At 41.2% G+C, this 14,911-nt stretch overlaps 1 protein-coding gene and 1 pseudogene across 19 annotated transcripts in view; both read right to left on the bottom strand.

Annotated features, from left to right (window-relative positions):
• The window catches only part of TFDP2 (transcription factor Dp-2), a 205,117-nt gene that overhangs the window by 89,915 nt on the left and 100,291 nt on the right, over positions 1-14,911 (bottom strand). The window lies entirely within an intron of this gene.
• Positions 9,202-9,883, bottom strand: RPL19P6 (ribosomal protein L19 pseudogene 6; annotated as a pseudogene).

Consider the following 14,911-nt stretch of genomic DNA (forward strand, 5'->3'; position numbering starts at 1 on the left):
CCCACCTCGGCCTCCCAAAGTGCTGGGATTACAGGTGTTAGCCACCATGCCTGGCCTGCACCAACTATTAATTAATTATTAAATCTTCAAAAATGCACCAAGTACCTCTGACACAACCACAGTTAGGCACTAGAGAGAGAAAAATAAACAAGACATTGTCCTTATCCTCAAAAAATAAAACAAAACAAAAAAACAAAAACCCAATTTGGCTTCTATCCAACTGCTCAAATGAACTGCATTGTCTAAAGCAGACAATGAGCTCTGCCTTGATAAATCTAATAATGTGTGCTTATGCTCCATAGCCTTGCTGTATCTGGCCTTGCTGATCTTACAAATCCCATCTTCTTAATACTATTACAACAATCTTCTCTTGGCTTTTTTTTTTTTTTTTGAGACGGAGTCTTGCTCTGTCACCCAGGCTGGAGTGCAGTGGCGCAATCTCGGCTCACTGAAAGCTCTGCCTCCCAGGTTCTCACGGCCTCAGCCTCCCAAGTAGCTGGGACTACAGGCACCCGCCACCACACCCAGCTAATTTTTGTATATTTAGTAGTGACAGGGTTTCACCGTGTTAACCAAGATGGTCCCGATCTCCTGACCTCGTGATCCGCCTGCCTTGGCCTCCCAAAGTGCTGGGATTACAGGTGTGAGCCACCACACCCAGCCTTCTCTTGGCTTTTATAAAGACTATTCCTTCTCTGTTTCCACCCCAAAACTTGTGGAGTGGTTCCTTTATTTTTTTCTTATTACTTGTATTCTAAATGGCTCAACCACAGCCATCTCTTTTGCTGTACTGTTGTTTCAGAAGGTGACTGATTACATAATTTATTATCTAAACTGAATTACCATTAGGAGTGAAAGGGGCACACCATAAATAATTAGGAGCTGTTTGGGAAAAGTGGAACATATGGATTCCTGCTTAAAAACTTTCAGTAGTTCCTGCCTCCAAATCTTTAAGCATGCCATACAAAAACCTACTTTGAACTAATTGCATTTATGGATTAAATTTCTATCTTTTTATGGCTGTCTCAAGGTCTGTCTTCACTCAGCACTCAGAGTACACTGAGACAATAGTATGTCTAATCAAGAGTCTCATTTGACTGTCTCCCCCATCTAACAGCAACCTCATTACATCTCCTTGGTCAAAAGTGCCCATAAACCACTCATAAGCCTCATTGAGAGAGATGAGAAAACGTAGGCTTACTAATATCAAATAACTTGCATAAATGCTAGCAAGTGGTAAAACTGAGATTCTAACTGATATGGTTTCGCTGTGTCCCCACTCATATCTCATCTTGAATTCCCATGTGTTGTGGGAGGGACCTGGTGGTAGGTAATTGAATCATGGGGGCAGGTCTTTCTGGTGCTGTTCTTGTAATGGTAAGACTCATGAGATCTGCTGGTTACTATAAGTGGGAGTTTTCCTGCACAAGCGCTCCTCTCTTTGCCTGCTGCCATACACATAAGACATGACTTGCTCCTTCTTGCCTTCCAGCATGATTGTGAGGCTTCCCCAGCCACATGGAACTGTAAGTCCAATTAAACCTCTTTCTTTTGTAAATTGCCATGTCTCAGGTATGCATTTATCAGCAGTGTGAAAATGGACTAAATACTAATCAAGTTCTTGACTTCTCAAAGTCCACATACTTGGTGACTATCAGTATTAATTACAGATATGAATTCAATGAGTAGATTTTAATCAAAAAGCTAACTAAAGCCTAATACTGTTCTCCATGTCATATACTAGTCCATTTGTGCCAAGTAAACTATTCTGGATGGGAAAAAAAATAAAGAAGATCACTTCAGTCCTCTATATGAGAACTTTTGATGGTTCCTCATTAAATAGATAATACAAGGTCCTTAATGGATAACTGTTTTAGGATAACTGTTTTTCTAGGCTCATCTCCCACAATTCCAGGTGCATGACTTATTTACCATTCCCTGAATGGTCCATGACTTTACTGCTAAGGTCAGAATTTTCTTTACCTGGTAAATTAATGCTTATCCTCCAAAACCCATAGAAAATGTCACCTCCTTAGTTAAGATATTCACAACTATCTGAATAAACCTGGTCCTATTTTGAGTTCCCACAGTATTGATGATGTGCATTTATTACAACATTTATCACAACCCTTTGTAATTTGCATGTCTGTCACTTCCCACAGTCTGCGAGTTCCTCCACAGCCGGTTTTTGGCTCTCCAGCCCTCCTATTCCATCTCTGTACCCTCCTCATCTAGAAGACCACATAGTAGACAGCATGCACTCAATAAATATCTATTAATAAACAAATTAATAAATGACAAGGGACCTTCACTTGATCAAATACCTTCAGTAGCTTCCCATCTGTTAAAAGAACTGCCCTGAATACAAAAGATATTCCAACTACCTTGGCCTTCTTTCCAGGCTCTTAATGATTAGACCTAGATGAAATTTTCTAACTAGTAACATTCCATTTATAATTACCAGCAAGTAGCTCCATTAGTCACCCACAATTCTCTGTCATGTTTTCCCAAACATGCTAAAGATATTCCTGCTGTCCTGTCTTAAAAAACTCATGGGGCAGTCTTGTTCAAAATGTCTTTCCCCCTCTTCTTTGTCTCTTCAAATTCTACACACTCCTCAGCGTCCAATGGTAGTCTGAACTCGTTATAAGACTCTCTATGACCTCGAGTGTAACCTAAACTTCTTCCTCTACATTCCTACATAAAATATATTAAATATCAAACCAATATAGCTAAAATAAATATGTGTTATAAGAATAACTTTGGTATGACAACTTTCAACTAAGTAACATGATAAATTCTTAATAAGCTGTCATCAAAACTGCAAAATTTAGTTTGTTCATTCAATCTACACATATTTGCTGACTGTTTACATGTGCCAGACATTAGGAGAGGACCTAAAAATATACTTGTGAAGATATAATTCCTAGCCTCAGGAAGTTACAGTCTACTGGAGGACACATTATAAACAAGCAAATAAATACAAAAACATCATCAACTGTGTTAACTGCAATGAAAAAAACTAGTGGGCATTAGAGAGATGGTAAAGGGTATTAGTAATACATTGTATGCTCTTTTATTATAGATAAGGTGGTCCAAGAAGACCTCTCTGAGTATTATTTAAGCTGCAACCTAGAAGGTGAAGAGGTCTCAGCCATGGTAAAAGCAGGGAGAAGATAATTTCAGGCAGAAAAACAGAACTGTGCAAAGGCTCACATAATACCCATAATTAAAGTAAAGCAAATAAATTGAAACTGAGGAAGACAAATACACATAAGGAAATGGTTTTGTGGGGGGAAAAGTAATTTACTAGTTGTGGTTATTTACACAAAGTAAGAGAGGGAATCCAGTCCTTACTTTCTTATCTGGGACTACAGTAAAAAACATGGGGAAAGAAACATAATCATGGATGCCATTCTGAGCAGAAGACTAAGAAGCAAGAAGATTATCAGACATCAATAAATATTCTTTAAATACTCTCATGAATGCATAATATTCCACTATACAGTTGTGTCATATTTTATTTCCCTTTTAAGTGGATATTTACAGTCTTCATACTTTGCAGTTATACATTATCATGTAATAAACATGTCTCCACCCACATCTCTGATTCTTTTCTAATGACAAATCCCCCAGAAGCCTTTCTACTGAGTGAAAGAATATAAATTATTTTAAGGGGTTTGACATTTATTACCAATTTGCTTCCCAAGAGTGCTTGTGCTGATCCCCTACAGAAGTAGATATAAAGAAGAAGTAGAAGGGCCAGGCGCAGTGGCACACGCCTGTAATCCCAGCACTCTGGGAGGCCGAAGCAGGTGGATCATGAGGTCAGGAGATTGAGACCATCCTGGCTAACACAGTGAAACCCTGTCTCTACTAAAAATACAAAAGATTAGTCGGGAGTAGTGGCGGAAGCCTGTAGTCCCAGCTACTCAGGAGGCTGAGGCAAGAGAATGGCGTGAACCCGGGAGGCAGAGCTTGCAGTGAGGTGAGCTCATACCACTGTACTCCAGCCTGGGCGACAGAGCGAGACTCCATCTCAAAAAAAAAAAAAAAAAAAAAAAAGAGAATAAGTAGAAATACTGTAGATGAGAAGAATTAAATAGATGTAGAATAAGAAGTGGATATAAAATAAAGATACCAATTTCTCATACCTTTGCCAACAAAGGTAATAATTTTAAGAAAATCTTTGCTAATTGATAGAGGAAAAAGATTTCGTTTTTAAATAGCTTTTTATATAATGTCCAAAATACTGCACATGCTCATGTCAGAAAAAACTGCAAAATATAGAAAAGCACACAGGAGGAAACAAAAATCATCTAGAATTCAATCATCCAAAAATTACAATTAATGTTTTGTGTACACATATCGAGTCTTTCTATGATACATATTTTTTTTTACAAAAAAGGGGATCACACCATACATGTTAGTTTAACTTTTTGAACTTAACAAATTGTTTAACTTTTAATATCTACAGAATATCACCATACAAGAATATCACAATATACTGTTAATTATCATGCTACTTTCAATTTTTCATTATTATTAACAATGCCGTGATAGGCACCCTTTGACTAAATCTTCCCACAGATCTTCCTTTACTTTATTAAGATAAATCAACGGCACAGACATGGCTAAGTCAAATAATTTGTACAATTTTAAGCCTTTTGATATGATACTGCGCAAATTATCCTCCAGAGAGGCTGTATTATTCTGAGTTCCCATATTCTCTACAACCTTGCCAAATGCTAGTATTAACAAAAACAATCCTTTGCTAATGTCACTGGCAAAAATCAGTTTTTGTCATTTACATTTGAGTTTAATTACTAGTGAAGTTGAATTCATACTCATATTTTTATTAGCCATTTGCATTTCTTCTCCTGTGAATTACCCATTCTGCTGCCCTATTTTTTCTTACAGTGCCAATATTTATTTTTTTATTTGTATTGCATTTAGTCATCATGTTTCCTTAGTCTCCTCTGGTATGTGACAGTTTCTTGGCTATTGGCTATGTTTTGTTCCTGATGACCTTGACAGTTTTTTGGGTTGTTGTTGTTGTTTTGAGACAGGGTCTTGCTCTGTCACCCAGGCTGGAGTGTGGTGCCACTATCATGGCTCACTGCAGCCTCGACCTCCTGGGTTCAAGTAAACCTCCCACCTCTCACATACCCTATTGCTGCTGGGGGAGAGGTAGAAGCAAACATCTTGTTTCTGGGAGAGCAGGAGAGAATCCTCATTGGCCCAGGATTCTGATGCCAAGCAGAGGTTTGCTACTGCTCAGGAAAGGGCAGATTAAGTACCACCCCTGGGGTTCAAATGAACAGGGACTGCCTAAAGCTAAGGCTGAACCAGGACAATAGAAAACCACCTATGACACCACCATAAGCCTAGCACTGAGTAACAAGCAGCATCAGTCAACCACTAGTGAAGGGGCAAGGATATGAATAGAGACTCCCCCTCTGTGATGGAGGCATGATGGGACTGAGGAAAGCCAACAGTGGAACAGAAACACTGAAGAAAAACCATCTGGTACCCCAGGCTCCAGGTACCAGGTAACAGCAGCCCAAGTACACTGAACATAATGATACCAACATCAAAATCCAAATCCACCTCAACTCCAGACTAGGTTGACTCAATGTCACAGGCAATTGGCCTGATGGGAGAGGCGTGCCTATATCCAGACACAAAATACCATCTACCTCAGTCTCTACTGTTCTTGTATACATGATGTTTGCCATTAAACTAAAAATTATAAGACATACACAAAATAAAACACACACACACACACACACACACAGGCATGCACATTACCAAGAGATAAAGCTATCAACAGAACGAGACTCATTTATGACCTAGATGTTGGAAATATCAGGGGCTTTAAAATAACTGTTCTTTCACTTTTCTCATCATTAAACTGGAAGAAAATCTTTTCCCTTTTTAATCACTTCAAAAGATAACTAATATTCTATGGTAGGCGCAGTGGCTTCTGCCTGTAATCCCAGTACTTTGGGAAGCTTAGGCAGAACTGCCTGAGGCCAGGAGTTTGAGACCACCCTGAGTAACGTAGCAAAACACTATCTCTACAAATTTTTTTTTTTTTTTGAGACGGAGTCTCGCTCTTGTTATCCAGGCTGGAGTGCAATAGCACAATCTCAGCTCACCGCAACCTCTGCCTCCTGGGTTCAAGCGATTCTTCTGCCTCAGCTTCCCGAGTAGCTGGGATTACAGGCAGGCATTGCCACCATGCCCGGCTAATTTTGTATTTTTAGTAGAGACAGGGTTTCTCCATGTTGGTCAGGCTGGTCTTGAACTCCCGACCTCAGGTGATCTGCCCACCGTGGCCTCCCAAAATGTTGGGATTACAGGTGTGAGCCATCACGCCCAGCTAAAACTTTTTTTAATAAAAAATAAATTAGCTGGGTGTGCTAGCTCACACTTGTACTCTCAGCTACTTAGGAGGCTAAGGGAGGAAAATCACTTGAGCCCAGGAGTTTGAGGCTACAGTGAACCATGATCATAACACTACACTGCAGCCTGGATGACAGAGCAAGACCTTTTAAAAAAAAAAGATAATCAAGACTCTAAAGCAACCACTAAAAATGTATTGTGGGGTTTATAACTGTATTTGATAATTTCCTGGACTCTGTCCTATGTGCCTTTTCTTTTGACAAATTTTAATCTGTCTCCTTCAGCTGTAATAAACTGTAACTGTGAGTATAACAGCTTACAATGAGTTCTGTCAATTCTCCTAGTGAATTATCAATCCTAAAGGAAGTTCTGGAAACCCCTGAACTTGCAACTGATGTCATAAGTGAGGGCTGACTTGTGCATGGCTTCAAAACTTTGCAATTGACTAACCACAAAGTCCTTTAACAGAAATGTATCTTGAAAGTATTTTCTTCCAGTCCATGACTTGTCTTTTCATTCTCTTAACAGTATCTTTCTCAGAGTAGAAGTGATATGGTTTAGCTGTGGCCCCACCAAAATCTCATCTTGAACTGTAATTCCCTTAATCCCCATGTGTCATGGGAAGGACCAGGTGGGAGGTAATTGAATCATGAGGGCGGGTTTTTCCCATGCTGTTCTCATGATAGTGAATAAGTCTTACAAGATCTGATGGTTTTATAAAGGGCAGTTCCTCTGCACACGCTCTCTTGCCTGCCATCATGTAAGACGTGACTTTGTTCCTCCTTTGCCTTCTGCCATGATTGTGAGGCCTCCCCAGCCATGTGGAACTGTGAGTCCATTAAACCTCTTCTCTTTATAAATTACCAAATCTCAGGTATTTCTTCATAGCAGTATGAAAATGGACTAATACAAGAAGTTTTAATTTTAACAAACACCAACATCAGTTTTCTCTTTCATGAATCATGCTTTTGGCGTTGTATCTAAAAATCATTGCCAAACCCAAGGTTACACAGATTTTCTTCTAGAAGTTTTATAGTTTTATATTTTACATTAGGTCTATGATCCCTTTTGAGTTAATTTTTTGTGAAAGGTATAAGGTCTATGCCTAGGTTCATTTTTTTGCATACGGACTTTGATTGTTCTAGCATCATTTGTTGAAAAAACCCATTCTTCCATTAAACTGTCTTTGCTCCTTTTTCAGAGATCAGGTGACTATATTTGGGTGAGTCCATTTCTGCACTCTTTATTCTGTTCTACTGATATATGTGTCCATTCTTTTGCCAATAACACATTATCTTGATTACTGCAGCTTTATAGTAGGCCTCAAAAATCAGGTAATGTGAGTCTTAGATATGGTTTTTGACAATTCCTGAGTCTATCTTTTAAACTTATATGTTAACATATTCATTTTTATTCTAATTACTAATAAGGTGGTCTTATATTTGTCACTCTATTATGTTCACTGCTCTTCAACACTATCGCTTATTGTCTTTTGCTAATAACAGTGCAGACATTTTCTTTTTCCTAATAACACTGTAAATAGTGTTTCTTTTTTTTTTTGAGATGAAGTCTCGCTCTGTCACCAGGCTGGAGTGTTGTGGCATGATCTTGGCTCACTGCAACCTCCATCTCTTGGGTTCAAGTGATTCTCCTGCCTCAGCCTCCTGAGAAGCTGGGACTGTAGACATGTGCCACCACGCCCGGCTAATTTTTGTACTTTTGTACTTTTAGTAGAGACGGGGTTTCACCATGTTGGCCAGGATGGTCTCGATCTCTTGACCTCGAGATCCGCCTGCCTCAGCCTCCCAAAGTGCTGGGATTACAGGTGTGAGCCACTGTGCCTGGCCAGTGTTTCTTTTTCTTTCTTTTCTTTTCTTTTCTTTTTTTTTTTTTTTTTTTTACCATTTATTAGTGCAGCAGAAAATCTGTGATGAATTTTATATATAGCTTTTTGTAGCAGTCTCTTTTCTACCTCTTGCCTGGACGCTTTTTTTTTTTTTTTTTTTTGAGACGGAGTTTCGCTTTTTTGCCCAGGCTGGAGTGCAATGGCTTGATCTCGGCTCACCACAACCTCTGCCTCCCGGGTTCAAGCAATTCTCCTGCCGCAGCCTCCCAAGTGGCTCGGATTACAAGCATGGGCCACCATGCCCGACTAATTTTTTTGTATTTTTAGTAGAGACGGTTTTTCTCCTTGTTGGTAAGTCTGGTCTCGAACTCCCGACCTCAGGTGATCTGCCCGCCTCGGCCTCCCAAAGTGCTGGGATTACAGGCGTGAGCCACCGTGCCCGGCGATGCTTATTTTATTATTTTTTTTGAGACGGAGTCTCGCTCTGTCGCCCAGGCTGGAGTGCAGTGGCACGATCTCGGCTCACTGCAAGCTCCGCCTCCCGGGTTCACGCCATTCTCCTGCCTCAGCCTCCCAAGTAGCTGGGACTACAGGCTCCTGCCACCACGCCCGGCTAATTTTTTTGTATTTTTAGTAGAGACGGGGTTTCACTGTGTTAGCCAGGATGGTCTCGATCTCCTAACCTCGTGATCCACCCACCTCGGCCTCCCAAAGTGCTGGGATTACAGGCGTGAGCCACCGCGCCCGGCCGCTTATTTTTACTCTTATTTATTTATTTATTTTTGGAGACTGAGTCTCACTCTATCACCCAGGCTGGAGTGCAGTGGTGCGATCTTGGCTCACTGCAACCTCCACCTCCTGGGTTCAAGCGATTCTCCTGCCTCAGCCTCCCAAGTAGCTGGGATTACAGGCGCATGCCACCACACTCGGCTAATTTATTTTTACAAGCAGATAAAGGTTTCTTTTATTTTAATGGCTGATCTATGTAATCACGGAGGCCAGTATGTACAGACAAAGGGGGAGCTTTTATTTCTTGGTCTCTTCCTCCTTAGACAAAGTCTTGATGATCTCCTCCTTCTTGGCCTGCAGGCGTTCTTCACCGTGCTTGCGTGCTTCCTTGGTCTTAGACCTGGGGGCCTCAGCCTGGTCAGCCAGGAGCTTCTTGCGGGCCTTGTCTGCCTTCAGCTTGTGGATGTGCTCCATGAGAATCCGCTTGTTTTTGAACACATTTCCCTTCACCTTCAGGTACAGGCTGTGATACATATGGCGATCAATCTTCTTAGATTCACAGTATCTTCTAAGCAGCCGGCGCAGAATCCACATGACCTTCTCTGGCATTCGCGCATTGGCTGTACCCTTCCGCTTACCTATGCCACTGTGCCTGCCTTCCGGCGGGCCAAGGTCTTTTTCCGGCATCAAGCCCAGGAATGGACTGTCAACAGGCTTGCTGATGATCAGCTCATCTTTGATCAGCTTCCGCATCTGCTGACGGGAGTTGGCATTGGCAATTTCACTGGTCTCATTCGGGTCCAACCAGACCTTCTTCTTGCCACAGCAGAGGACAGAAGAGGCGAGCCTCTTCTGAAGCCTGAGCATACTCATGGCTGCGGCGGCGGCAGCAGCAAAAGGGTTTTTTTTTTTTTTTTTTTTTTTTTTGAGCCGGAGTCTCGCTCTGTCGCCAGGCTGGAGTGCAGTGGCGCGATCTTGGCTCACTGCAACCTCTGCCTCCCCCGGATTCAAGTGAATCTCCTGCCTCAGCCTCCCAAGTAGCTGGGACTACAGGCGTGCACCACCACGCCCAGATAATTTCTGTATTTTTACTAGAGATGGGGTTTCATCATGTTGGCCAGGATGGTCTCGATCTGTTGACCTCATGATCTGCCCATCTCGGCTTCCCAAAGTGCTGGGATTACAGGTGTGAGCTGCCACACCCGGCCTAATTTTTGTATTTTTTAGTAGAGACAGAGTTTCACCACGTTGGCCAGGCTGGTCTCGAACTCTTGACCTCAAATGATCTGCCCACCTCGGCTTCCCAAAGTGCTGGGATTACAGGCGTGAGCCACCGTGCCCGGCCCTAAATAATTTCTTTTAAAATTCCAACACAGAAGAGTACAAAGGATGATCCAAGATCCTGTGAAATCATCCTTATTTCTTCTCTCTCTAGGTCCCTGAAGTCAAAGTGTATTTGGGATCAAATCTGAGACCTCCTTCTTATTAGTTATACAATCTTAGGGAAGTAATTTAACCTCTTTACCTCCGTGTTCTTGGGAATAACCATTTACTTAGATTTAATTAGCTAATTCATGAAGGCTTTAATATAGAATCTGGTACTCAATATATATTTAGTTATTATTATTATAATTGCTGACATCTCAGTTGGTTTCCTTCTATGGCAATCTGCTATCTTCTACATATTTTTCAGATTCATTAAACAAACCCCATGAGAATAAAGAAAATACCATCTAATATTGTTTCCTTTCTCAACTTTTTCAAAGTATAATTTTTTTCTGTTTCTTAAATATCAGATGTCCTTCTTTTATTTTGCAGAATCTCTTTCCTTTTTTTTTTTTTTTTGAGACGGAGTTTCACTCTTGTTGCCCAGGCTGGAGTGCAGTGGCACGATCACGATCTCGGCCCATTGCAACCTCTGCCTCCCGGGTTCAAGTGATTCTCCTGCCTCAGCCTCCCCAGTAGCTGGGACTACAGGTGCCCACCACAACACCGGGCTAATTTTTGTATTTTTAGTAGAGACAGGATTTCGCCATGTTGGCCAAGCTGGTCTCGAATTCCTGACCTCAGGTGATCCGCCCACCTTGGCCTCCCAAAGTGCTGCGATTACAGGTGTGAGCCACCACACCTGGTCGTGTTTTGAAGAATTTCTTAATAAATCCCACGATGCCTTTAAAAATTTCTGTCAATTATTTGAAAGTTGAGAAATCTATCCAGGTTTGGTGTTTTCTAAGAAAAAAGTTAAGTAAATTCTAGGTGGTCTCTGTCCACCTAGGTATTATTTGACTTTTTTTTTTTTTTTTTTTAGACCAAGTCTCGCTTTGTCACCCAGGCTGGAGTGCAGTGGCAGTATCTCAGCTCACTGCAACCTCCGCCTCCCGGGTTCAAAGGATTCTTCTGCCTCAGCCTCCCAAGTAGCTGGGACTACAGGCAAATGCCACCATGCCTGGCTAATTTTTGTACTTTTTTTTTTTTTTAGTAGGGATGGGATTTCACCATGTTGGCTAGGCTGGTCTCAAAATCCTGACCTCAAGTGATCCGCCCACCTTGGTCTCCCAAAGTGGTGGGATTACAGGCGTGAGCCACTGTGCCTGGCCTGACTTTAAACTTTATCCACACAAGCCAGACCTAGTATTGAGCAGTCACATAATACTATGGCTCTCACCTATTTGGAGGATTAAAGATCCCTTTGAGGATCAAATTAAAATTATATACTATCTAGAGCACACAATTTTGCTCATCAATTCAGTTTGTCATGACTTAAAGTCAATTTGTGGATCTAATGTAGGGATCCCCTGATTTACTATGGCGCTGATAAACTAAGGAAGATCTTCTGACCCTGTTGTCTTGTTCCATGTGCACGTGATTGGCAATCTAATCCTACATACTTTGAAACAGAATATAGTTCTCCCCTAGTCAAAAACAGGACCTAACCAAGAGTTGTTTAACCTGGTGACTGGTTTATTAAACTGTTCTCTTTACTCTTGTAAATATCTGAAATTTTCCATAATAAAAAGCTTAATCTGTGTGTCTGTCTAAAGTAGGGCCTGAGAAAAGGCATACTACTCCCATGGATTTTCTTCTCTTTGCCCCTTCTCACCACTACCTTCATCACATCTGAAAACGTACCCCCAACAAATCCACTTCTGCCACTGCCTTTACAGAGCTGTGGTCACTAAGGGAAGTACAGAGGTAATGATAAGAGAGATGGGAGGGAGAAAAAGAGCCCTGGATGTTGCAGATAGCAGTTGCAACACGGCGTTGGTGTTGGTGGGAAGCTGCCAAGTTTCTGGTTGGTAAAGATCCTACTTCCTTAAATTTGTAGGTATGAAGTAGAGAAGGGTAGAAATCTACCTTTTTCCTGCCTGTCCCCGCTATTTTGTCTCAGGGATCAATCTTCATTTCTACTCATCGAAATTCCTCCTGTTGCCTGGCACATTTTAATCTGTATTGCCAATCTCTATTTGTAGCTTTGCTTTTTTGTGTATATTCCCAAATTTGACCGAAGCATAAGACAGAAAATTAAGTTGGGTCCCACCAGCTAGCTATCATCTAAATTCAGGCTTCCCCATTGATTTTTTGAGCCCAAAAGGTCCTAAAATAATCTAGCACACATTCAACCTGGGAAAAGCAGATAAGTGGAAGCAATAGCTTCTCATGTGCTCTTGCCCCCCTTCAGCCTTCAGCCACACTACAATCTTACATAAACAGAAATATGCCTATTGATACTATTGAGCATATTAAATACAGTATAGTAAAAAAGAAAGTGGCATTTTCTCTCAAGGATCTCTAATCCAGATTAACAACGTTGAAAGACTTCCAATAGATGTGAAGTTTAAACTGAAGCACTGTAGCAACTGAGAAAAGAAAAGAACTTTTATCTGAGGAATGCAAGTCCTTTTAAATATCAGGCCCAGATAGATATTAAAATGAGATTACAATCATGCCTACTCCCCTCCTTTGAGCTATGTATTCATCTGTTTAAACTGCTTACTATTGCCATAAGTAGCCATAAATTAGCTTAATAATCCACATCAGGTGTGAATTATAATAACACTATAATCCATACCTTATAGGTTAACAACGTATAGTCAATCACTAATCAATTCTCACTGGTTCTGTAAACCAGTGAGAATTCCTAGCAAACAACTTTGTACAGTCCACCCCCTGTCCCCCTATTTTGCCTTTCAAACTCCACTTGTAACTGCTGCTAACAGGAGTGTATATTCAGGGAAACTTGAATCTATGTTCCCAGGTTGTAATCCTCAAGTTTGGCCCAAATAAACTCTCCACTTATATTAGTTTTGCCTCCATTTCTTCATTTTAGGTTGACATATCCAATTAGAAACACTCAAGTTAATTCACAATAATGTGTGCTTGATAAAACTTGCAAATTAGTGAACTAATATGCTTTTTTTTTTTTTTTTTTGAGATGGAGTTTCGCTCTTGTTGCCCAGGCTCCAGTGCAGTCAGTGGCGCGATCTTGGTTCACTGCAACCTCCGCCTCCCGGGTTCAAGTGATTCTCCTGCCTCAGCCTGCCAAGTAGCTGGGATTAAAGGCTCCTGTCACCACACCCAGCTAATTTTTGTATTTTTAGTAGAGACGCGGTCTCACCACGTTGGCCAGGCTGATCTTGAGTTCCTGACCTCAGGTGATCCACACACCTCGGCCTCCCAAAGTGTTGGGATTACAGGTGTGAGCTACCACTCCTGGCCCTAATATGCTAATTATTAGACACTTTCAAACTGAAAAATAAGCACACAGAGAATATCAAAACCAATTAGCATAAAGAGGTGCTCTGAGATTAGCTGGGTGTGGTGGCTCACACCTGTAATCCTAGCACCTTGGGAGGATGAGGTGGGCTCATTTCTTGAGCCCAGGAGTTCAAGACCAGCCTGGGCAACATGGTGAAACCTCGTCTCCACTAAAAATACAAAAATTAGCTGGGCATGGTGGCATGTACCTATCATCTCAGCTACTCAGAAGGCTGAGGTAGGAGAATTGCTGGAGCCTGGGAGACAGATTGCAGTGAGCCGAATTTATACCGCTATACTCCAGTCTGGATGACAGAGAGAGACCCTGTCTTAAGGGAAAAAAAAAAAAAATCAAAAGAAGAGAAAAAAGATTAGTAGAGGTATAGTTTTCTAAATTCCTCCTAGTTTTGTCAGTAATATTTCAGATTAATAAAATATTTCTAAAGAAAGATATAAATGCAGAGCCGTTTTCAACCTCTGATTTGAAAGACCTGATTTTTTATTTTATAGGGTCTCGCTCTTTTGCCCAGGCTGGAGTACGGTGGTACAATCACAGCTCACTACAACCTTGACTTCCCAGGCTCAAGCAACCCTCCCACCTCAGCCTGCCCAGTAGCTAGGATTACAGGAGTATGCCACCATGCCTGGCTAATTTTTAATTTTTTTGTAGAGACAATGTGTTACTATGTTGCTCAGGCTGGTCTCAAACTCCTGGGCTCATGTGATCCTCTTGCCTCAGCCTCCCAAAGTGGTGGGATTACAGGCATGAGCCACTGTGCCCAGCCCGAAAGACGTAATTTGAACTGCCTCTATCACTTGGGAAATTAACTGCTCTGAGTCTCCGTTTTATCCACCTCTAAAATGGGCATCATAATAGCATCTATCTTGAAGAAGGTTCTGAGGATTATATGAAATAACGAATATGAAGGGCTTCTTGTAGTTCCTGGCATATAGCACTCAAAACACAGCAGATTTCTTATAAAAAGTGTTCATCCTCTGAAAATAGTGAGAGAAAGTAAGATGGCAACTAAGGTTAAAAGGTACTTCAGAAAAGGAATACAAACAAAGAAAATAACAAAACAAAACCATTTTAAGTAAACTACGGCCCAATATCCCTCATGAACACTCACAAAAATTCTAAATGAAATTTTAGCTAACTGAATTCTAGAATAT

This window comes from Homo sapiens, chromosome 3 (assembly GCF_000001405.40).
Source record: "Homo sapiens chromosome 3, GRCh38.p14 Primary Assembly".
NCBI classification, from domain to species: Eukaryota; Metazoa; Chordata; class Mammalia; order Primates; family Hominidae; genus Homo; species Homo sapiens.